General features: G+C 49.7%; 1 protein-coding gene across 2 annotated transcripts in view, besides 4 other annotated features; it reads right to left on the bottom strand.

The window, feature by feature from the left end:
• The window catches only part of PODXL (podocalyxin like), a 56,358-nt gene that overhangs the window by 22,049 nt on the left and 10,015 nt on the right, over positions 1-24,294 (bottom strand). The gene's annotated exons all lie outside the window — the stretch shown is intronic.
• Positions 479-578: an enhancer, noted in NCBI's record as "active region_26677". NCBI's record gives its function as "activates an Ori minimal core promoter by ATAC-STARR-seq in GM12878 lymphoblastoid cells {active_cell/tissue: GM12878}" and the evidence as "EXISTENCE:reporter gene assay evidence [ECO:0000049][PMID:35858748]".
• Positions 7,767-8,266: an enhancer, noted in NCBI's record as "H3K4me1 hESC enhancer chr7:131214845-131215344 (GRCh37/hg19 assembly coordinates)". NCBI's record gives its function as "activates a minimal SCP1, AML or CMV promoter by ChIP-STARR-seq in primed H9 embryonic stem cells {active_cell/tissue: H9 hESC(primed)}" and the evidence as "EXISTENCE:reporter gene assay evidence [ECO:0000049][PMID:30033119]".
• Positions 13,756-14,680: an enhancer, noted in NCBI's record as "H3K27ac-H3K4me1 hESC enhancer chr7:131220834-131221758 (GRCh37/hg19 assembly coordinates)". NCBI's record gives its function as "activates a minimal SCP1, AML or CMV promoter by ChIP-STARR-seq in naive H9 embryonic stem cells {active_cell/tissue: H9 hESC(naive)}" and the evidence as "EXISTENCE:reporter gene assay evidence [ECO:0000049][PMID:30033119]".
• Positions 22,060-22,903: an enhancer, noted in NCBI's record as "H3K27ac-H3K4me1 hESC enhancer chr7:131229138-131229981 (GRCh37/hg19 assembly coordinates)". NCBI's record gives its function as "activates a minimal SCP1, AML or CMV promoter by ChIP-STARR-seq in primed H9 embryonic stem cells {active_cell/tissue: H9 hESC(primed)}" and the evidence as "EXISTENCE:reporter gene assay evidence [ECO:0000049][PMID:30033119]".

The raw sequence follows: 24,294 nt of genomic DNA on the forward strand, positions 1-24,294 counted from the left end.
CACATACTGAGTAGTCCCAGCTACCGAGACAGGAGAACCGCTTGAACCCGGGAGGTGGAGGTTGCAGTGGAGCTGAGATTGTGCCACAGCACTCCAGCCTGGGCAACATGGCGAGGATGCATCTCAAATAAAAACAGTGGAATACAGCTGTGGGGAGCTGCAAAAGGCAGACTATTTGAGGAGCAGCAAACAAGGATGGGCTACAGCCAAGCAGGGACCCACAGAGATATTACTGGAGGACTTTGCAGCCCCGGGTGCACCGAAGGTATTCATAGCAACAACAAATTGTGAAGCCCAGCCTAACTCGTGCCTTGATTAACATAAACCTTCGCACTAAAGACACAGCAAAAGAAAAGCCACACAGTAGGCAGCCACTAATCTACTTCTGTCTATGGACTCACCTATTCTAGAGAGTTCATGTAAACGGGATCATACACTACGTGGTCTTCTGTGACTGGCTTCTTTCACTTTGATGTGTTTTCAAGCTTTTCTCTTTCACTTTTGTTTTCCTGGTTCATCCATGCTAGCATGTGTCTGTTCCTTACTCCTTTGTATTGCTAAATGATATTTCACAGTATGGAGCTTCCATTTTTGCTCATCCATTAATCGGCTGATGAACATTTGGGTTGTTTTAACCCTTGGGCTATTATGCATAATGCTGCTATGAACATTTGTGCACAGGTTTTTATGTGGACATGTTTTCAATTTCCCTTGGGTACATACCTAGGATTGGAATTGCTAGGTCATATGGTAACTCTTTATTTAGTATCTGGAGGGACTGCCAAGCTATTTTCCAAAGTGGCTACCCCATTTTAACATGTCAATCAGCAATTTTTTTGTGAATCCAATTTTTCCAGATCCTTGCCAACAGTTATCATCTTTTCCATTATTGCCATTTTAGTAGGCACTAAATAGTATCTCACTGTGGTTTTAATTTTTATTTCCCTAATTACTAATCAAATCCAACACTACATAGAAAGGACATAATGACCAAGTGAGGCTCATCATGGACAGTTCAGTATTTGAAAAATCAATCAATGCAATTCAACACATTAAGAAGCAAAATAAGAAAAACCATATGAGCCGGGCATGGTGGCTCACGCCTGTAATCCCAGCATTTTGGGAGGGTGAGGCGGGCAGATCACGAGGTCAGGAGATCGAGACCATCCTGGCTAACACGGTGAAACCCTGTCTCTACTAAAAATACAAAAAATTAGCCGGGCTTGGTGGCGGGCACCTGTAATCTCAGCTACTTGGGAGGCTGAGGCAGGAGAATGGCATGAACCCAGGCGGAGCTTGCAGTGAGCTGAGATGGCGCCACTGCACTCCAGCCTGGGCAACAGAGCGAGAATCCGTCTCAAAAAAAAAAAAAAAAAAAAAAAACAAGAAAAGAAAAAGAAAAAGAAAAACCATATGATCAGCAGACTCCTCAACTCCATACAAGATTATTTTTATATTTGCAGAAAAATCATCTAACAAATTTTTTTTTTTTTGAGATGGAGACAGTCTCACTCTGTTGCCCAGGCTGGAGTACAGTGGTGCAATCTCGGCTCACCTCAACCTCCGCCTCCCGGGTTCAAGCAATTCTCCTGCCTCAGCTTCCTGAGTGGCTGGGATTACAGGTGCACGCCACCACGCCCAGTTAATTTTTTGTATTTTAGTAGAGACGGGGTTTCACTGTGTTGTGCAGGCTGGTCTCGAACTCCTGACCTCAGGCAATCCACCCGCCTGGACCTTCCAAAGTGTTGGGATTACAGGCGTGAGCCACTGCACCTGGCCCATCTAACAAAATTTAATATCCATTCATGATTTAAAACAAAGCAAAACAAAACCTTTCAGCAAACCAGGAATAGTAGAGAACTTCCCTCACCTAATTAGTGACGTCTCCAAATAAACCTACAGCTAACATCATACTTAATGGGAAGAGATTGAATGCTTTGCTGTGAAGTTTGAGAACAAAGCAAGGATGTCCTCTCTTTCCACTCCTATTGAACACTGTACTGTGAGTCCTACTGAGTTCAATAGGAAACACACACACACACGCACACACACACACACACAGAGAGAGAGAGAGAGAGAGAGAGAGAGAAAACAACAAGGAAAACTCAACAATAAAAACCCAATTTTTTAAAACAGGCAAAAGATCTCCAAGGAAAAATTACCAAAGATATACAGATGGCAAATAAGCATATGAAAAGATGCTCCTCATTAGTCATTAGACAAATTCAAATTCAAGCTCCAATGCAGCACCATTACATACCTATTGGAATAGCTAAAATCAAACAAACTGACGATCCCAAATGCTAAACAGGATCTCTCATACATTGCTGGTCAGAATGCACAATGGTACAGATAATTTGGAAAACAGGTTAGCAGTTTATTTTAAAGTGAAGCAAACAATTATTATATGACCCAGCAATTCCATTCTTATTTACCTACATGAAATGAAAACCTATAGTCACATAAAAACCTACATGCAAATGTTTATAGCAGTTTTATTTACCATCACCCAAAACTGAGAACCACCAAGATATTCTTCAACAAGTGAATGAATATTATATAGCCATATAATGACTACTCAGCAATAAAAAGGAATAAACTAGTGATTCATGTGACAATATAGATAAGACTTAAATACATTTTGCTAAGTGAAGGAAGCCAAAAGTCTGCACAGCATTTGATTCCATTTTGATGTTATGGAAAGGGCAAAATGATAGGGATAGAAAACAGATAGGTAGACACCAGAGGTTGAGGGAACTGGGAGGAGCAGACTCCTCAACTCCATACAAGATTATTTTTAGGACAGTGAGTGATGCACAAGGATCCACAAGACTCTGCATCTGTTGAAACCCAAAGATTTGCGTACTCCAAGAATTAACTTTACTTAATGTCAATTTAGAAAAATAATCATCTCAGATGTCCAGGAAATCCTAGGATGTAATGGAGACTATGAAAATCAATTTAACTATATTATAAAGGTATAACATGGCCAGGCGCACTGGTTCACACCTGTAATCCCAGCACTTTGGGAGGCCGAGGCGGACAGATCACCTGAGGTCAGGAGTTCGAGACCAGCCTGGCCAACATGGCAAAACCTCATCTCTACCAAAAAAAAAAAAAAAAAAAAAAAAAATACAAAAATTAGCCAGGCATGGTGGTGCGTGCCTGTAATCCCAGCTACTCGGGAGGCAGGACCGCTTGAACTGGGAGGCAGAGGTTGTAGTGAGCTGAGATCGTGCCATTGCATTCTAGCCCGGGAGACAAGAGCAAAACTCCATCTCAAAAAAAAAAACACAAAAAAAGTATAACATAACCTCGCTGAAGAGGGTGGAGAACAAGAGTTGACTCTGGGAAAGTTTTTTTTTAAACTAGATACTGTAACGAACTGCATAAAAACAGTGTATTTTAAGTAGTAAGAATGTTTCTCACAAGGGCATGTCAATTTCAAACCTACTTGACATGTATACTAGGATTGAACAAATAATTAAATAAACTATAGATAACATAAGCCAGGTTTCTAGCTCTTGGAGAAAGAAGTTACAAATAAGTAAACGGGTGGGGAGGAGGCTAGCCCTGTGATGCTTGATGAGAGGCAGTGATGTCAGTCAGTCGGAACTCATGTTTCAATAGACAAATAGATGACAGATGAGGAAATGAATACATACTAAACAAATGTATATTTCCCAGCTCTGTCCACTCAGAGCATCTGGAAGCAGTGACAAACCAGTAGCATAGGGTACACCCAGGTCCATGTTTGGTTTCTGATACCATTCTACAATGAAATGAACCAAGGCTCCTTGGAGAAAGGGCTTGATTTCTAATGCTGATACAAGGAAAATGCAAGATAAGCCTGGAACATCTTGTAATGTCAGAAAATAAAGAAGTGCTAAAAAAAATAAAAATGAAACGAAGAGGAAGGCAAGTTCAGCCTGCAAGACCTGAAAGAGGGTCAACAGGAAAGAGCTCATAATGGCCAAACCTGGAACAATTTGAGCAACAAAACAAGAAATACTGGATCGGAACCCCAAGAATAAAATAAATATCCACGAGTCTAATCTGATAAATAAATGATTAAATAAATAAAGCATCCTTACAGTGCTTTTCCAAAAAAATTGTAGGTATGCCCCCAAAACTTCTATACTTAAGAAAACAACCCAATAGAAAAAAAATTAAACATGCATTTTACAGAAAAAAAAAAAGCACAGCCTAAGAACATCTGAAAATGTTAGTAATTAGGGAAATGCAAAATAAGAATTTTCATTTCATACCCATCAGATTGACAAACATTTTAAAGTAGTAAGAAGTGGTAGCAAGAATATGAAGTAGTGTAAATTGGTTGAAACACTTTGGAAAAGAGTGTGGCATTATCAAAGAAAGTTAGACGTGTACACATATTGTTCAATCCACAACTTCCTTACTCTTTTTTTTTTTTTTTTTTTTGAGACGGAGTCTGTTGCCCAGGCTGGAGTGCAGTGGCGCGATCTCGGCTCACTATAGCCTCCGCCTCCTGGGTTCAAGCAATTCTCCTGCCTCAGCCTGTATCCGAGTAGCTGGGATTACAGGTGCCCGTCACCACGGCCGGCTAATTTTTGTATTTTTAGTAGAGATGGGGTTTCACCATGTTGGCCAGGATGGTCTCAAACTCCTGACCTCAAGTGATCCACCCATCTTGGCCTCCCAAAGTGCTGGCATTACAGGCGTGAGCCACCACACCTGGCCCACAACTTCTAACTGTATCACTAGGCACTTATCCTAGGGAGACAAGTATGCATCACAGTGCATTTACAAAAATGCCCTTAAGAGTAGTTTCACATTGGCCCCATACAGGTAGCAAGAAAACGCAATGTTGATAGTAGTAGAGTACAGTTGACAGTACAGCTGACAGTAGTATGGATAAATAAAGTGATAGCATATTCTTCTAGAATGCTCTACAGGACTGAAAATGGGTGGACTACATCTATTAGCATTAATCTAAAGAATAATATTAGGCAATAAAAGAAGAACAAGAACACTCATACGGTTCTACTTACAAGGCACAAAAATCGGCAATACTAAATGTTTTTAGGGAAACAGAAGATGTTACTAAAATTTTACAGAGGATTTAACAGTAAGTTTAGAATACTAGTTATCTCTAGGGGGAAACAGGGAGATGCAACAGAAGCTTCTGCTTTAGATTCACGTTTTAAGGAAGGAGTGGTTGGCTGTGCTGAATGATGAGACTGGCAAAGGGAAGTCCCTGGCAACCACCATGTGCAGTTTCAGTGGGCACAGTGCAGGTGGAAGCCTGACTCGGGCAGACTGAAGAGTGAATGAATGGTAGGAAAATGAGTTTGCATGTGTGGACAACTCTTTCTCAAATGCTAGGGGACCAGAGACATACGGCAGCAGCTGGAGGGAGCTGGGACAGTCAAGAAACTTGTTTCCTTTTCGAAGGTAGGAGATGCTAGAGCTGGTATGAATGCTTTCTTTGTGTATGTGTTCTCCTCCTACTGTTTCATAGGGTCCTTAAGATGCAGAGGAGATAGACCTGTGCCAACTCAGCACCAGTAGAGGATTTGGCCTTCACTGGATAGTCAGACACTTTTTTTTTTTTTTTTTTTTTGAGAGGGAGTCTTGCTCGGTCACCCTGGCTGGAGTGCAGTGGTGCAATCTCAGCTCACCGCAACCTCTCTCTCCTGGGTTCAAGCAATTCTCCTGCCTCAGCCTCCCAAGTAGCTGGGATTACAGGCGCCCATCACCTGGCTAATTTTTGTATTTTTTTAGTAGAGATGGGGTTTCACCATGTTGGCTGGTCTCAAACTCCTGACCTCAAGTGATCTACCTGCCTCAGCCTCCCAAAGTGCTGGGATTTCAGGCGTGAGCCACCGCACCCAGCTAACACTTCCGTCTTTGAAACAGGAGGGAAGAAAATGGATACAGTCATAACTGCAGCTGTATTTTGGTGGTAGAAAAAGTTTACATTTGACAGCTTTAATTTTCTCAATGAAGTCTAGATGAAATCAGCTATAGTGATATAGATAGAAAAAAGGAGAAGGGAGTATTTGAGGGAAAAGTGTAAAATACTCATGTTGGAAATAGGAACGTGAACCTCTTAGAAAAGAGGTTCTCAATCTTCAGCAAGCGTCAGAATCACACAGAGGTTGTGAAAACACCAGCAGCTGGATCCAGCCCCTGAGTTCCTGATTCAGCAGGCCTGGGATGTGAAATATGCATTTCTAACAAGTTCCCAAAAGATTCTGATGCTTCTGGCCAGAGGACCACACTTTGAGAACCACTATGCTAGAGAAGTAAAATGTGATTGTCAAGTAGTATTTGGTGCCAAATTGAGGCATGGCATCATGAATTTAAAGTTAATGCAATCGGCCAGATTTTACTGTAGCGATGTTCAGCTGCTTGATGTAGAAAAATGGAGGCAAAGGTTTATCTGAGAATGGGGGTTTTGCTAGGTATGACAGCAGGAGAGGGTGCAAGGAATTTGGGGATATCTTTGTAACGCAAGGATTCTAATGGTGGATTGTTGACCTAGAGGATGGAGAAAGACAGAAATAAGGCCAGGTAGGGGCTGACAGGCAATGAGGAAGGTTACTGGACTCTTTGTTAGGTCTTGAGTTCAAGCATCGTGATGTGGGTTTACTTGAGCAGATAAGTTGGAAGGTAGAGAGACAGTGATACAAGGAGGAAATGCTGAGATTTCAGAGGTGATACAGTTTGAGGGGCTGATAAAGTTCAGGGGGGGAAACGGGAATGACCCAATGAAGTAGAGATGAGAAAATGTTGAGAAACAGAGGCCAGGGTATTTCATTGTTTACCCAAGTGAGTACTGGAGTCACCAAGAATGATGACACCTATTAAGATGGAGAGGATGGAGTGAAAGTCTTTGGTGAGTGATGGACAGGGCTGAAGAGGTCAGTACATCACAGCAGGGTAGAAATGACATGACATTCCTGCTGATGTTGAAGCCTGTGTTGAATGAGTTAACGCAGTGCCAGCTCCCCCGGGGGCCAGGGGGACAGTGGGAGGAGAAGACAGACTTCAGTCTGCTCCCCTGGGGTGGGAAGCCTGCTTCAATCTTCAAGGAGGGCCTGCTTCCTCTGTTACTGGCTATTTCCAGACCTGGGATTGACTCTTGACTATTAATAGTGGGAAAGGAAACTGGAAAGAATGCTCCAGGAAGAGGGGTGTGGAAGGAGGCCAGGGAGGAGGTGGGATGAGAGGCTCTGGCCTGGACACCAGTATCGACCTCTCCTTCCTTCTTTATCCCCTGCTTACCACCCCCAACTCATCTCCACAGAAATAAAAAAAAAAACTTCCAAGGGGAGAGACAGGCAAGATGAGCGGATGTGTTCCTCGATTGGTGTGCCAAAGGGAAGAGCGCAGGCTGGGAAATGAGAAGGTCTGAACCTTCTCATCCTGCCCCCGCCTTGGACCCTCAGGCCTGGGCAAGCTGTCTGCCCTCTTGAAATGCATCTGTGAAAGGTGGGCCAGAAGATTCCTAAGGTCCCTCGGGGTGTGTACGCACTCTCCTGAGCACGACACTGTATACTAGGTAAGCCTGCTTTGGCTGTGACAGCAGAGCCATCCTAGCCAGTCATTTCAGAGGGCTTGCGCTGGGCCTCCCTAGGGGTATAGGCGGGAGGGCTTGCGCTGGGCCTCCCTAGGGGTATAGGCGGGGCCTTTCCAAGGGCTGCCCAACCCTAACACTCATTTTTCCAACATGTGGTATCTGCTCCACAAGCCTCTTCTTTCCAGGGGGTGCAGGGAGCTGCTAGGACTCGGGAAGGGCCTGGTGTGATGCCATTGCAGGTTCGGCCAGGTTGAGGTCTACACCCCACCCCCCCACCCCCAGCTCTCCAGGGCACACCTTCTCAGGCTACAAGTCCTGCTGGCCATTGTACACTGGCCTTTTTATTGCCAGCTGGGCAGGACAGCGAGGCAGGGTGGCATGGGAGAGCCGGATCAGTAAGGGACCTGGGGCTGCTCTCTGTTCACTTGGCCAGGACTCCTCCCAGCACCAAGGTATCAGGTGCCCTCTCTCGCCCCTGCATGCAGCCCCCTCACTCCCCAGCCTTCCTTGTGAAGGACGTGATGCTCCCCATGTTACGGTCCCACCTCTGTGTGTCTTGGGTGTTATTAATCAGGTCAGGGCTGGGCTTGGTGGCTCATACCTATAATCCCAGCAATTTGGGAAGCCAAGGCGGGAGAATCACTTGAGCCCAGGAGTTTGAGACCAGCCTGGGCAACATAGCAAGACCTCATCTCTACAAAATATTCAAAACATTAGGTGAGTATGGTGGAGGGGCACCTGTAGTCCCAGCTACTCACGATGAGGTAGGAGGATCACTTGAGCCCAGTGAGCTACGAGCTATCACTTGAGGCTGCAGTGAGCTATGATCACACCACTGCACTCCAGCCTGGGCAATGGGGAAAGATCATGTCTCAGAAAAAAAAAAAAAAAAAAGGCCAGGTGTGGTGGCTCCCACCTATAATCCCAGCACTCGGGAGGCCAAGGCGGGTGGATCACCTGAGGTCGGGAGTATGAGACCAGCCTGACCAACATGGAGAAACCCCGTCTCTACTAATAATAAAAAATTAGCTGGGCGTGGTGGCACATGCCTCTAATCCCAGCTACTCGGGAGGCTGAGACAGGAGAATCGCTTGAACCCGGGAGGCGGAGATTGCAGTGAGCCAAGATCGCACCATTGCACTCCAGTCTGGGCAACAAGAGCAAAACTCCGTCTCAAAAAAAAAATTAAGTCAGTACGCTTAATTCCCTGCCCCAGCGGTCTGGTCATCCCCTTGCCCTGCTCTTGCTTAGCTGGGCACTCATTTCCTTCCACCAAAAGGCCCTTCTGGATCCCTCCAGCCCAGTGTGGGTCCTGTCCTTGGAGGCTGTTGGCTCTGGTCTTCTGCTCTGGAATCTTATTAATGCTATATCCAGCCGCTTATAAACAATTGACCTCTGTGGCTTTAAGAAAACCAGTATCTCCCCCTCTCTACCCTGCAAGGTGCCAACCAGATGTTGATGCCTCCAGGAGGAACCTGACCTGGGATAAGAGCAAGGAGCTTGTCTGCAGAGGACAGCATGGGAAGGCCATCGAGGAACTGACTCGCCTCACTCTCGCCAACCAGTGTCGGCTCTCTTCCCCATCTGCATGTGCTCAGGTGAACCTTGGCCCATCTCTGCGCCTCAAGTCCTAGATCAGTTTACCTACGACCGCCATAACAAATTACCACAAAGGCTTAAAACAACAGAAATGTAGTCTCTCACCATTCTGGAAGCCAGAAGTCTAAAATCAAGGTGTGTGCTTCTGACACTCCCTGGCTGAAGCAGTATCCCGCCAACCTCTGCCCTCATGGTCACATGGCCACCTTCTCTATGTGCCTCTTATGAGGACACTTGTCATTGGATTTAGGGCCCACCCACTTAAAACCAGCATGCTCTCATCTTGAGGTCCTCAGTTATTATCTGTAAAGACCCTTTGTCCACATAAGTTAATAATCACACATTCCAGCCAGGCGCGGTGGCTCATGCCTGTAATCCCGCACTTTGGGAGGCCGAGGTGGGCGGATCACCTGAGGTTGGGAGTTTGAGACCACCCTGACCAACATGGAGAAACCCCATCTCTACTAAAAATACAAAATTAGCTGGGCATGGTGGTGCATGGCTGTAATCCCAGCTGCTCGGGAGGCTGAGGCAGGAGAATAGCTTGAACCCAGGTTGCAGTGAGCTGGAGATCGTGCTATTGCACTCCAGCCTGGGCAACAAGAGCGAAACTCCATCTCAAAATAATAATAATAATAATAATCATCATCATCATCATCATCATCACACGTGGCCGGGCGTGGTGGCTCAAGCCTGTAATCTCAGCACTTTGGGAGGCCGAGGAGGGTGGATCACGAGGTCAGGAGATCGAGAACATCCTGGCTAACACGGTGAAACCCCGTCTCTATTAAAAGTACAAAAAAATTAGCCGGGCATGGTGGCAGGTGCCTGTAGTCCCAGCTACTCGGGAGGCTGAGGCAGGAGAATGGTGTGAACCTGGGAGGCGGAGCTGGCAGTGAGCTGAGATCGCGCCACTGCACTCCAGCCTGGGCGACAAAGCAAGACTCCGTCTCAAAAAAAAAAAAAAAATTAAAAATAAATAATAATAATAATAATCACACGTTCCAGAGATTTTTACTTGTATATCTTTTTTTTGGAGGGGGGGTACATTTTTGGTCTGCCATAGGTCCCCATCTGGAAAATAGGGGGTAGTGACTCCTGGGGTTGTGCTCTTTCCCTCTAAATGGTCCCCTGCTTGGGCTCAGGGCCCCAAAAGTGGGGTGGCTTGACTTCCCTGGGTATAAGGGGTATGACAGACTTGACTGTCTGGGCCCCACATCCAGTGCATATGTGGAAGCCCCAACCCCCAGCGTGAAGGTCTTAGGAGGCGGTGCCTTGGGAGAGACTTAGGTTTAGATGAGGTCCTGAGGATGGAGCCTCCATGATGGATTAGTGTCCTTTTAGGAAGAGGAAGAGACAGCAGAACTTCTCTCTGCCCGGTGAGGTCACAGCGTGAAGGCCCTGTCTACAAGCCAGGAAACGCCCTCGCCAGAACCTGACCATGCCGGAACCCTGATCTGCGACTTTCAGCCCCCAGATCTGTGAGAAATAAATGTCTGTTGCCTAAGCCACCCAGCCGACAGTATTTTGTTATACTGTAACAAAAATCAGAGCTAAGACAAGGGGTTCAGGATGGAGATTAATAACGAGAACAGAGACAGCAGGAAGGGCTGCTCCAACTGTCTGGGGCAAGGCCGGGTCCCCAACGTGCGCCCCTTACCCCCACACAGGCTGAGTGTCAGGTAGATAAGTGCAGCCACAGACTCCAGTCATGCTCCACCCTCCCCGTCCCTTCCCTGGGACCCTGGCAGGTCTGTTGGCTCTGTGGTCCCCAGGACCCTGGCAGCTGTGAGACTTGGGGCCTCTGGGTAGCAGGACGGCACCTCAGGGGTGGGGTCGTCAGGCCTGCCTCTCAGCATCACCTCTCCCAGAGGGGCTGAGAGCTGCCCCCTTAGGGGAGATAATTCCGGGCATTCTTCAAATCTGGAATTGTTCTGCCCTTATCAGCTTGTTTCAGCTGGCCTGCCCGGCACCCGCTGCTCCCTGTAGGGTGGGGCCCGTCTGCCTGCTTCCCTGGGCAGGAGAGGGCTGCCACTGTCTAGCGTGGAGATGTCCCAGCGATGGGGAAGGGCAGCCTTCGCTTGGGTGCATTTCTCCCTGCAGGGAGGGCACTGTGGCCAGATCACCTGTAAGAAGCCCTGGTTCACACCACTTCTTCCCAGGGCTGACAAGTCCTCATTCTTTCCTGTCCTCAACACCTGGGAGCAGGGCACAGCACCCAAGGATACTTGGCTCCCATCTGCCCACATCCCTGCCTCAGAGGTGCCCCTCTGTAACTCCCCACTAAAGCAGTACAGGACAGAGGCTAAGAGCATGTACCAGGGAGCCCGACACCCGGCTTCCAGTCCACACACAAGCTGTATAACCAGGCAAGAGTCTCGACTTAACATAAATGTCTGAATGCTGTTCCTCAGTTTCCCCATCTGTCAAAATTGGAGAGCAGGGTAATAAAAGTAACAAACTCTATACCTTTGAGTACTTAGAGCAGTGTGTGCACATAGAAAGTGCCCGATCTATGGCAGCTATAATTATATTCCTGCTGAGCTGTGCAGGGGGGAAGGAAAGGCACCCCACCTCCCCTTACCCGTTAGAGCCGCGCAGCCCACCTCCTCCTCCACTCCTCCTCCACTCCCTCTCGAGCCACTCACACCTGCACAGGCCTTGCCAAGGTGAGAGTGGGTGCAGGTCTGCCCAGACCCATGTGGCTCTTCCTTCTCAGTGAGGCATGGCTGATCTGGGGAGGGGAGAAGATGAGGCACCAGGGCAGCTGTGGTCAAGAGAAGACCCAGATGAGGAGCTGAGCCTGAACCTTCCTGGAGAAGGAAAGGAAACCCAGGCCTGGGGGACCCCAACTCCAGGAAGTGTTTCCTCACCGGCTCAGAGATGGAGGGAGGGGCTTTCCGGCTGTCAGCCTCAAGTTCTACCCTGATAATGACCCCGCACCCCATCCTGGCGGGGCAAGGCCGCCACCTGTGAGAGCTCTATGTGAGGTCAGCTGGGCTCCAGGACCAGTGCCTGGTGTCAGGGCCACAGGGGTGGCCGGCGGGGGTAGGCAGTAGGGTGGGGTGGGGGTCAGGAGGGGGCTGGAGCTCAGACTTCACTGGCTGTGCCCTTCTCCCTCTTGGGCCTGGCTTTCCTCCTCAGGGAAATGAAGCTCAATCACTTCTGCCTCCTTCCCTTGTCCATCACGATGGGTGTGGACCAAGATGGAAGAGTCTGGTAAGTGAGACTCTGGAGGAAGAAGGCAGGGAACTCAAATGTATTAAAAGATATTTTAATACACATGGCCGGGTGTGGTGGCTCACACCTGAAATCCCAGCACTTTGGGAAGCTGAGGTGGGCAGATCGCTTGAGCTCAGGAGTTCAAGACCAGCCTGGAAAACATGGTGAAACCCTGTCTCTACCAAAAATACACACAAAAAAATTAGCTGGGTGTGCTGTAGCCTGTAGTCCTAGCTACTCAGGAGGCTGAGGTGGGAGGATGGCTTGAGCCTGGGAGGCAGAGGTTGCAGTGAGCCAAGATCGGGCCACTGCACTCCAGCCGGGGTGACAAAGCAAGACTCTATCTCAAAAAAGAAAAAAGAAAAGAAAAAGAAATATATTGACCATCAACGGAGGGCCAGGGTATCTCCTTAATTCTCAAAAGGACATGAGATATGTGTTATTATCTCCACTTTGAAAGTGAAGGCAGTCTGGAGGGAAGGGAAGGGGAGTTAGCATCTGATGGGTGCAGAGCTTCAGTGTCGGAGGATGAACATCTTCTGCAGGTGGATGATAGGAGCAGGTGCATGACAGTGTGAAGAAGGTACTTAATGCCACTGAACTGCACCCCTAAAAATGGTTATTACAGTAAGCTGTACGGTAAGTCAATTGGACCACACACACACACAAGTGAAGAAAGCGTTCAACACCACAGCAAGTAAACAGGTCAGTTTGGGACACCAGTGTGACTGGGGGCAGCTTTCTCTCCATGGCCCTGTGTGCAGGAAAGAACACCCTCTCGTGTGTGGAATCACTCTGTGACACAGTATTGTACAACAGAGGTCACACACTTTTTCCATAAAAGACCAAAGTAAATATCTTAGGCCTTATAGGGGGCCATACAGTCTCTGCCGCAACTACTCAACTTTGCCGTCATGGGCCTGAAGACAACCGCAGAAACAACCTGTACATAAATGGGTTTGACTGTGTTCCAAGAAAACTTTACTGACAAATACAGCTGGCCAAGCAGTCATATGCTGACCACTGATGTCTAAGATCCCCCTGGGGCTAGGCCTATTTTTGTTTCTTTGTTTTTTTGAGATGGTCTCGCTCTGTTGCCCAGGCTGGAGTGCAGTGGCACAATCACAGCTCACTGCAGCCTTGACCTCCCAGGCTCAAGCAATCCTCCCACCTCAGCCTCCCGAGTAGCTAGGACTACAAGTGCTTACCACCCTGCCCAACTAATTAATTTTTTGTAGAGACAGAGTCTCACTATGTTATCCAGGCTGGTCTCAAACTCTTGAGCCCAAGTGATCCTCCCTCCTCTGCTTCCCAAAGTGCTGGGATTATAGGCATGAGCCACTGTGCTTGGCCAAAGAGGACTATGTTTTTTAACCCAGCTGTGGATCCTATTCTGACTTTCCTAAAGAGCCTGACAAGTGTCACTTGTACTAGCCTGTTAGAAACCAAGCCACATCATGGCAAACTGGGAAAAAATATTTGCAACTCATATGGCAAAGGAAAATACCTAAGCTGTCAGCTAGCTACTCAAAACCACTTAAAAACTAAGATAGATTTTAAAATCTGAAAGTTCCACAATCCAATAATAGATGCCAGGGGAGATGTATGGCATGACGGGTCCTTGGAGAGGTGCCCTCCCCTCTGGATGGCTGGTGCTGTCTACTGGTATTGCCACCCCTCAGTGGGCAGATGCTGAGGCTTCTGTGGGAGGGACCACGACTGTTTCTCTCGTATCCCTGGCACCTGCACAGAACCCAGTCCCAACAAACACCTGATAAGTGTGTTCCAGGATGGTGCTTACACCCTCGGGCCAGCAGCAGCTGGTGTCAGGGCTGGGGTAGAAGTCAGCCAGCAAAAAAGGCCAGTCCAACACAGCAGGTTAAGGCGCCTAATCTGGCCTTCCCTGCCACTTCTCCTGGGCCTCTCCCTGCTGGTTCCTGTCCCCAGCGCCCCTCCCCCTGGGAGGCTCACCTGAACTGCCTGTCTGGAGCCTGGTGTTTTCATCCTTCAGTGCCGCTGCCCCATGCTCACAGTAGGTTCTACTGTGCTCAGTCAGGAGGTTCTCAGAACAGCCCCTTTCCCTATCATTTTAAAAAATGTTTCACTAAAGAATTACAGGCATTTAAAAAATGGCACGTGGCCAGGTGCAGTGGCTTACACCTGCAATCCCAGCACTTTGGGAGGCCGAGGCAGTCAGATCACTTGAGATCAGGAGTTCAAGACCAGCCTGGCCAACATGGTGAAACCCCATCTCTACTAAAAATACAAAAATGAGCTGGGTGTGGTGGCGCACACCTGTAGTCCCAGCTCCTCAGGAGGCTGAGGCAGGAGGATCACCTGAGCCCAGGGAGGTGGAGGCTGCAGTGAGCCATAATTGCGCCACTGCACTCCATCCCGGATGACAGAGTGAGACCCTGTATATATGTATGTATGCGTAAATTAGTTAACTAATTAATTGATTGCCAGGCCTGGTGGTGTGTACCTGTAGTCCCAGCTACTTGCAGGGCTGAGGTGGGAGAATTGCGTGAGCCCAGGAGGTCGAGGCTGCAGTGAGCCATCATTGCAACACTGCACTCCAGCCTGGGTGACAGTGAGAACCTGTTTTTTTAAAAAAAAAAAGCCAAGCACGGTGGCTCACGCCTGTAATCCCAGCACTTTGGGAGGCCTAGGTCAGGAGTTCGAGACAATCCTGGCCAATATGGTGAAACCCTGTCTCTACTAAAAATACAAAAATCAGCTGGGCATGGTAGCACGTGCCTGTAGTCTCAGCTACGCAGGAGGCTGGGGCAGGAGAACTGCTTGAACCTGGGAGTGGGAGGCAGAGGTTGCAGTGAGCCGAGATTACACCATTGCATTCCAGCCTGGGCATGGAAGCAAGACTCCGCCCCACCCCACCCCACCCCCCCAAAAAGGTGCATATCACAAGTGTACAGCTTGATGAATTGTCCTCGAGGGAATACACACATTTAACCAGCACCAGATGGTGAAACTGGACAGCTCGTCTCAGAAGCCCTGCCTGTGTTCCTCTCCATCCCCGAGGGTAACCGCTATTATTCTGACTGAGAAGATTCGGGGTTGTGTCTGTTGTGGGATTTCATATCAATGGCATCACACCGTCGTGACTCTTGGGTCTGGCTTCCCTCACTCAGCTTTGCTTTGTGTAACTCATCCTTCTCGTGGTGTGCGGTCGCAGACTGTTCGCCCCCATTACAGTGGAGGACTCTATTGTGTGCACATGCCACTATGTATTTGTCCATTCTGCTGCTGATGGGCATTTGGGCGGCTTCCAGTTTAGGGCCATTGTGAATAGGGCTTCCGTGACCATCGCAGTCCCTGTCTTTGGGAAACTGATGTGTACGCACTTCAAACACATCTGTGGCAAGGCTGCACAGGGCCCACTGTGGCCCTGCAGAGTACAGGAGGGAGATGAACCAGGAGACCAGCTCCTGGCCCCTCCCCTGTGCTCTGACTTAGTTGGGAGGATGACCCCCCTACCCCCAGGCAGACCCTCAGGCTGTTTCTGTATGGGCTGCCCCACTCCGTTGTGTGTCCCAGACCCATTCTCTGACCGAGCTTCCCATCCCCAAGGCCTGGCAGGGAAGGAGTGGCAGGGGCAGAAGTGCTCTGCGGGGAGCCAGCCTCATCCTCCATCATGCCCTGGCACAGCAGCTAGTGGGGCTCAGTTTCCTCATAATGCAGGGAGCACAGGGTTCAATGACCTCTACAGTCTCACCTGATGAAAATCAGGCCCAGAGTTGGTGACACTGCATCCTCCAGGTGGAGGTCAGAGGGCGGAACCCCACCCCTACCCCCTAACAGGACCCAGCGCCTCAGCAGGAAGCTTCTAGATACATTCTTTGGAATGACTCATGACTATAATTCTGTGGCTGAAGGCAGAGAGGTAACAGGAGAGCCTGGAATTCAATCGACGGTGCCACCCAAGATTCCTGCGTCGCCACTCCCTGGGGCTCAGCCCACCCCTGCCCGCTCTGGTTCCTCTCCCTCTCAACTGCTCCCCACTCCCCATCCTGCTCCCCACTCCCGCTCCCACTGTTGTTGCTGTTGCTAACAAGAGAGGCGTCCCCATGCCGAGCCCCTGGAGCTTTGTACGTGGTGTCAGGCTTTGTCTAGGGACCACCAGCCTGCCCAGAGAAGGGGATGGGTTCTTCCTGAGCTGGAAAGAGCAGACTAACCTCCTTAAAACAATACCCTCCCCAGGGGCCTCCTAATCCCTTCCCCTGCAGCAGACCATGTGAATCCTGATCTGTCTTCCTGGGCCTTGTGCCCAGGGACAGCCAACACACCAGCCAGCTGGCAGGCGAGGACGGGGACAGGGCTGATGCCTGGATGCCTTCGCTAACCTCGCCTGCCCAAGATGGGCTCCCAAACAAGTCACCACCACAGGACAGCACCCGGGGGAGGTGGCAGAGTGGCCACTCGCCCTGCCTTTAAGGTCAGTTTAAATGACCACATCCAAGATGTGATGCAGCCTCCACAGAAAAAGTGAGCTCTGCAAATGGAGACCTGGATGTCTGTGTGAGCCGGGGACCTCTTTGGACCTTGGTTTCCTCATCTGTCGAGGGAGACATATCTATCTTGGAACAAAATGAACATATTTTTTAGAATGTATAAGCTCTTTTTTTTGAGACAGGGTCTTGCCCTGTCACCCAGGCTGCAGTGCAGTATTGTGATCTCGGCTTACTGCAACCTCCGCCTCCCGGGTTCAAGTGACTGTCCAGTCTCAGTCTCCTGGGTAGCTGGGATTACAGGCACGCACCACCACGCTCAGCTCATTTTTGTATTTTTAGTAGACATGGGGTGTCGCCACGTTGGCCAGGCTGGTCTTGAAGTCCTGACCTCGTGATCAGCCTCCCAAAGTGCTGGGATTACAGGCGTGAGCCACCACGCCCAGTCCCCGAAATGTAAAAACTTTGAGGAAAATGTTTAAATATTCCAAATCTACAGTATCCTTACTGAGGGCGGGGCTGGAAGAAGGGGCAGCCAGGCTCAGCCAGCCTTGCCGACCCCCTGCTGTGAGCAGGAGACAGGAACGTCCGTGCCCAGTCTGGGTGCTGCATGTGTCCTGGTACACTCGGGGCAGCTCTGAGACCACGGGGTAGAGGGGTGGACATGCTGCCTCACTCACATGCTGGAACTTTCTGTAAATCCACCTATTAAATGACACCTCCTAAGAGCAGTTTATCCTCATGACTGTAAACTTAATACTGGGCAAATACTGAGGTCTTAGCATATTGGCCAGACTCTGCGCCACGTTCTTCCTGCATATGATCTCATTTGTGTCTCCAGCACCCTCTGAGGACACACCTTTAGTACCTTTTAATTTTTAATCTTTTTAGAGACAGGGTCTTGCTCTGTCACCCAGATTGGAGTGCGGTGGCGCGATCACGGCTCACTGCAGCTTCAACCTCCTCCTGGGCTCAGATGATCCTCCCACCTCAGCCTGCCATGTAGCTGGGACCACAGGTGTGCACCACCACACCCAGCTATGTTTTTGATTATTTTGTAGAGATACGGTCTCACTCTGTTGCCCAAACTAGCCTTGAACTCCTGAGCTCAAGTGATCCTCCTGCCTCAGACTCCCAAAGTATTGAGATTACAGGAGTGAGCCACAGTGTCTGGCCTATTATGTACCTCGTTCAGAAAAGGAGAGACAGACTAGCCCAGGGAAGGCCCCACCCCAGGTCAGAGAGCCAGATTCTAACCCAACTGTCTCGGGGATGAGTGTTCTACCCTGCCCCCGCCCCCCAATACCCATCACACTGGGTCTGCACCGACCCGCACCCTTCGCACCGACCCTCACCCTTCTCAACTGGCCCTGTCCCTGCTCCCAGGAGCACCTGCAACCTGTCCCCAGGCACACACACACTTCCAGAGCCAAAGCGCCCGGACATTTGGCACACAACTCTTCCCCTAGCAGTAAGTTCAAAAACAACCTTGGTAAATATTTTTCTGAGGGAGCACGTTGTCTTTCCCACGCCACCTCCGGCCTCCTGCAGCCGTGAAAATAACCAGATGTGTATGGGTTTCTCAGTGGCCTCTGGAAACCTCCACCAGGGCCGAGTCTCCACTCCTGGCCTAAAACAAACAAGGGCCCCGAGCCAGAGGGAAGTCCCGCATGCATGGCTGTGGGATAGTCACCTCTGAAACGGAGAGTGCCTCTGGGAAGAGAGGGAGAAAGTTCTGTGAAATGGAGCCTGTGAATTTCCCAGGGAATGATCTGCTTCCGTCTGGTGGACACTGAAGGTTAAGGCAGCAAGTTCAGCTCTCCAAATTTCTATCCTCTTTGTGTTCTGTCCTGGCGAGAATTCTCCCCTTCCAGGAATAACACCTGTGTCCTTCTTGCTGCAGAGTAATTCACAGCAGGGCACGTTCCCCAGGCAAAATCCCAGACTAAATCCGTGCATGCTGGGGTTGGAGCAGGAGCAGGAGCTAAGGCTCTCTGATGGTCACCCGCTTACTCTGCAAAGCAGGGCAAATAAAGCTAAAACTATCACCTATCTCTCTCCTTGGCCCAGGAGGTGGAAGAAAAAGCATGGTTACCTCCCACAGAGCACACGATCCGAATTTCTTTGGTGGTTTTTGACAGTGGAGCCTGTATCTTTTGGACAGTAGGGAGTGGAGTGGAAGTGGGGTTGGGGGTGACTTGGGGGTGGGAAGGTGTTGCTTAAAAAGAACAAACAGGCCAGGCGCAGTGGCTCACACCTGTAATCCCAGCACTTTGGGAGGCCGAGGCGGGTGGATCACGAGGTCAGGAGTTCAAGACCAGCCTGGTTAACATGGTGAAACCCCATCTCTACTAAAAATACAAAAATTAGCCGGGCTTGGTGGTGGGCGTCTCTAATCCCGCTCCTCGGAAGGCTGAGGCAGATAATTGCTCGAACCTGGGAGGCGGAGGTTGCAGTGAGCCACTGCACTCCAGCCTGGGCAACAGAGCGAGACTCCGTCTCAAAAAAAAAAAAAAAAGACAAACAAACCAAGTAAGTGGATATCATTAAACAATTGAGGACTGGCTCCCTTGTCCCCTGCCAGGGCCTGCAGGGAAAGTTAAAGGCCATGTTCCTTTTAAACAAAGCCAAGTCATCATGGCCCTCCCTGTGTTTGAGACGCTAGAGTTCGTCAAGGAAGCCCGGTTTCCTATGGGCACCGCCTAGGGAAGTGAATCAAGAATCTCAGGGCCAGCCCCAGTTGGAGCCAGGTGTCCAAACAGCTGAACATTCATCCCCTAAAAGTAGTTTCATGACATCAGAGAGGGGGGACAGAGGCATGACTGAGTACATGCCTCAATGACATACACACACACTCATGCGCACAGCTGTGAACTCACAGCTCTTCTTTTTCCAAGAAACTGGGAGCAAAATATTTCCCTCTGAAGTTTTGCAGGTCAGGAAAGGGGTCAGGTTTGCTTAGATCACACAAGATTGATTCTGAAGTCAGACTTGGGGCTCCAAAAGGGGTGGAGGAAAGGAAGGCACCGTCTCTTGCCCCCTGGCCCTCAAGGCTCCATGCCCCGTTCTCTCTCTGCCCTCTCTCTCTGCCCAGTCTGGCTACCCTGCAAGGTGGGTGCAGAGGCCCAGATGTCTAGGCCAAGTTTATTTGGCCACTCCCATGCCCAGAACAAGAAAAGAAGGCTAATTCAAAGTGGAAGGGAGGCTGGCTGCGGTGACTCACGCCTGTAATCCCAGCACTTTGGGAGGCTGAGGCATGAGGATCACTTGAGCCCAGGAGTTCAAGACCAGCCTGGGCAATATAACGACACCTCACCTCTACAAATAATTTTTAAAATTAGCAAGGCATGGTGGTGCATGCCTGTGGTCCCAGCTACACAGGAAGCTGAGGCAGGAGGATCGCTTCAGCCTAGGAGGTCAAGGCTGCAGTAAGCCATGTTTGTGCCACTGTACTCCAGCCTGGGTGACAGAGGGAGACCCTGTCTCAACGACGACAACAGCAATAACAGCAACAAATAAAGTGGAAAGGGGGTACCTGGAGCCTCAAGACGTGACTCTAGGTAAAATCACCAGCATCCTCCGCCTTGGATTTCTCGTCTGGAAAGCATGTACAGCGCCAGTTAGAGCCTCCCTCCCTCTAGAGCATGGCAGTAGTGCAGCTTCTAGGGAGAGGCAGAGCCAGGATCACAGGATCCAGAGATCCTGGTCCGAGGAGCTGTCACCTTTCTTGTTTTCCCTTACAGCCTGGTCTTTGCTGGCACAAGGTCTAGAGATGCAGAGCACGAGGAGCTGATGCCACCCCTCGGGCTGGACGCAGGGGCCAGGGACAGGCTGGGGCTGAGTTCACGGTGCTCTGTGACCAGAGGCTGGGATGTTCTCTGCTTTTCTTTTTTGTCATCAGTTCAGCCAAATGTATGTTTTGAAGCCACAGTTTTCTACTTTTTAAACTTATTATTTTCATATTTATTTAAAGATAGGGTCTTGTTATGTCATCCATGCTGGAGTACAGTGGCACAATCATAGCTCACTACAGCCTCTCAAACTTCTAGGCTTAGCAAGTAGTACCCACCTCAGCCTCCCAGGTAGCTGGAATTACAGGTCCATACCACCATGCTTGACTAATTTTTAAACTGTATGTAGAGATAGGGCCTCACTATGTTGCCCAGGCTGGTCTTGAACTCCTGGCTTCAAACGATCCTCCTGCCTCGGCCTCCCAAAGTGCTGGGATTATAGGTGTGAACCACAGTGCCAGGCCATCCCTTGTCCCCTGCTCTTTAAAAGCCATGCAGGCATCACATTCCTCCGCATCCCAGAGTCATAATGTTACAGCTAGAGGAAGCCTAGATGTCATGTGATCTCAGCCCAACAAGTAGAGACGAGCAAGCAGTCAGAGGACCAGGCACCACCACGCCTTCTTTGGCATCTAAGAACCATGTAGTCCCACTCCTAGTGCAGCTCTCCAATCCTGTGGGGTCTGAGTGCCCACATATACCTGGCTCCAGGTGCTGCACCCCTCTTGGTTGTTGGACAGGGGAAAGGGAGGCATCTGACCTGCAGTGAGATGAAGAAAGGGCCGAGGCCAGCAAAACACGAAGAGCCCCCAGGACACTACAGGACATGTGTCCATGCCCCCCTTCACATTACCCAGGAATCCGTGGTGTCACTGCCTGTCCCCAGAAGCCAAATGCATGAGAACAGCCCCCTCCAGCCATTCCCAATGGCTGAGAACATCCACACTGTCCAGCTGGGTTCCCTCTGCATATGCAGCCACACACACCCATCAGTCCCATGATGCCAGCAGTCCTGGGGCCGAAATCACCCAGCTTTAGACCATGGGAAATACTAAACAGGAAGGCCCCTGAGAGCCACTGGGCCAGCTCCTCATTCACAGATGAGGAAACTGAGGCCTGCAGGGAGGACACTGGGTTGTGAGTGTCTGGACAGAGGATCTGTTTCTTTTGCAAACCCACTCCTCAGCTCAACACCCAACTCAGATGGACCCTGCTGGTTTTCTTCACTGTGCCTGCCACCAGCCCTGTGTACATGTGGCGCACCCACACAAATACCCAGCGCTTAGCCAACAGGAGACCCCAGGGCCAGTTATAGCTGGCACATGGACATGATTGCCCTAGAGTGCCTGTGGCATTCAGAGATGTGATTCTGTGTCAACAGGACCAGACTTCCAGATTCATCCAGGGCTGTAAAGCCAGAGAATTTCCCTGCCCAAGTGTAATCCCCATAGGATGCCGTGGGTGAACGAAAGGCCAGGACGGCTCCCACCCTGCCCTTCCCCAGAAGCCGATCCACAGCACAAGCTCTCTAGAACCCCAGCCATGGAGAAGCAAAACCCAGGATGACCTCAGGATGAGAAGCAACTTTTTGGGCGGTGCTCTCAGGGCCTCCAGATCAGGGAGGCGTGGGCAGGAGTTAGGACAGCACAGGCCTGGGGAGGGAGCAGCAGGGCCTCCGCACGCACGCCCTGTACTACGCACGCACGCCCTGTACTACGCTTGGCAGTGCCCCCGGGGCAGGATGCAGGACTGCATCTGGCTGAACAATGGGCACCCCTCCTCATTGTCCCACCTGCGAGTAGTGCCTTAGGTGCTAGCTGCAGCTGGAAAAGCACATGCAAGCTGGTGGCTTAACAAACAAGCACACTACCCCCTCAACCACCAACTCCCAGGAACAATGACAGCATGAAGGTGGATGAGACCCATGCACTCAGCAGGCCCTGTTTATCCAGAACTGTCTGTGAGCCACTATGACAGTGCTGGCTACCAGAACATCCTGGAATCCCCTTCTCCAAGCTCCTGGGGCAGGATGACAGGATGACGGGACTCAGGATCTAAAACAGCACCGTGATGCTGTCAGGGTCAAGGACTCAAAAAGCAGCAGGGGGCAGAGGCACAACAGGAAAGAGCCAGCCACAGGCAACCGGCAAACAATGTCTGCCCCCATCTGGGCAGAAAGATCAAACATCAAAAACACACACTTCCATAATTCTTTTAACAGAGCCTCCCACTTCTGGCTGAGAAGCAACACCACTGCAAACACTCTTGAGGGGCCACCAGCCTGGAATGTAACTTGTTCCCAATGGACTCTGGGGCAAGCAGCCTTCAAACTGGCTGCGACCTGCCATGTTGTTTCCTATAAATCCCCTAAGGTCAGAGGGCCCTCTTCATTTCAGCTAGACACATGTGAGTGTGTTGTTATAGCTAACGCTTTTCCAGCTTGGTCTTTACGCAGGACTGTCTGGGTTTTAGTACTCTAAGTCCCACATCCCAGGATAACCTGTTTATACTGGGTAATCTGGGACAGTTGGTCACTCTATCTTCACATCAGTATTTCCCCCAAAATGTCCTGGGGAAACATGAGTGTTTCACAAGATGTTAAACACTCTCGTTCTACTAAAGAGAGGAAGCTGTTCCTCTCGATGTTCTACTAAATCTAGATCGATGTTCTACTAAAAAGAGGAGGCTGAAAAGGAAATGGTCCCATAGTTAAAGTACGTTTGGGGAATGATGGGTTAAACAAAGGTAATAAGTAATCTTCCTTAGAGGATATTTCAAAGCATGTAAGATCATAATGTATTTTGACCTTCTAAGAAGGGAAATGTATTCATTTTATTAAATATTCATTGAGAGCATAACTATTAAAATCTTGAGGATTACGAAATGTTCTTACTGGACACAGTTTGGAACACAGCTTGCTTTATGGAATATAAAAGTAAAATAAAAAACCTCATATGGTGCTAGCCCAGACTTACCATGTGGGTAAACTGAGGCACAGAGCAATGCCCCCAAGGCAGATCTGTGAGTACTTCCTACCTTCCCTTCCTATCTTCCTCCCACTTTTCGGCCTTGTGAGGAAATATTCCTTTCTCTAGTTGTTGGACTGTAGCTCCATGCACCTCCCCCATGCCCTCCCTTTCCTGAGAAGGAAAATGGAGAGCTGGCCATAGAAAGATCAACATCGTGTCACTGCCTGCTTCACTGCCTGGCTCGATGGCATCAAGAGGAATTTGGTGCAAGAGAGGGGGTAGGCTCAGGGTTGGATGATCTGAGAAAGGAAAGTGAAAGGGAGACTGGGATCCCAGGGCTAGGAGGGAGTGTACAGTGGGCGTGTCCAGGAGCTGATTACCCAATCACAAGCGCCATTTATCCAGGTAGAAAGAGAGCCAAGAGGTGGAAGACTGCATTTAACCACGTTATGGGCTAACCACCTAGGGGGCTGCCAGGATCGGGGTGCAGGTGGCTTCAGAAAGCCTGTTTTGGGCCGGGCGCTGTGGCTCACGTCTGTAATTCCAGCACTTTGGGAGGCTGAGGCGGGCGGATCACTTGAGGCCGGGAATTCAAGACCAGCCTGGCCAACATGGGGAAACCCCATCTCTACTAAAAATCCCAAAATCAGCTGGGCTTGGGGGCAGGTGCCTGTAATCCCAAC

This window comes from Homo sapiens, chromosome 7 (genome assembly GCF_000001405.40).
Source record: "Homo sapiens chromosome 7, GRCh38.p14 Primary Assembly".
Classification (NCBI taxonomy): domain Eukaryota; kingdom Metazoa; phylum Chordata; class Mammalia; order Primates; family Hominidae; genus Homo; species Homo sapiens.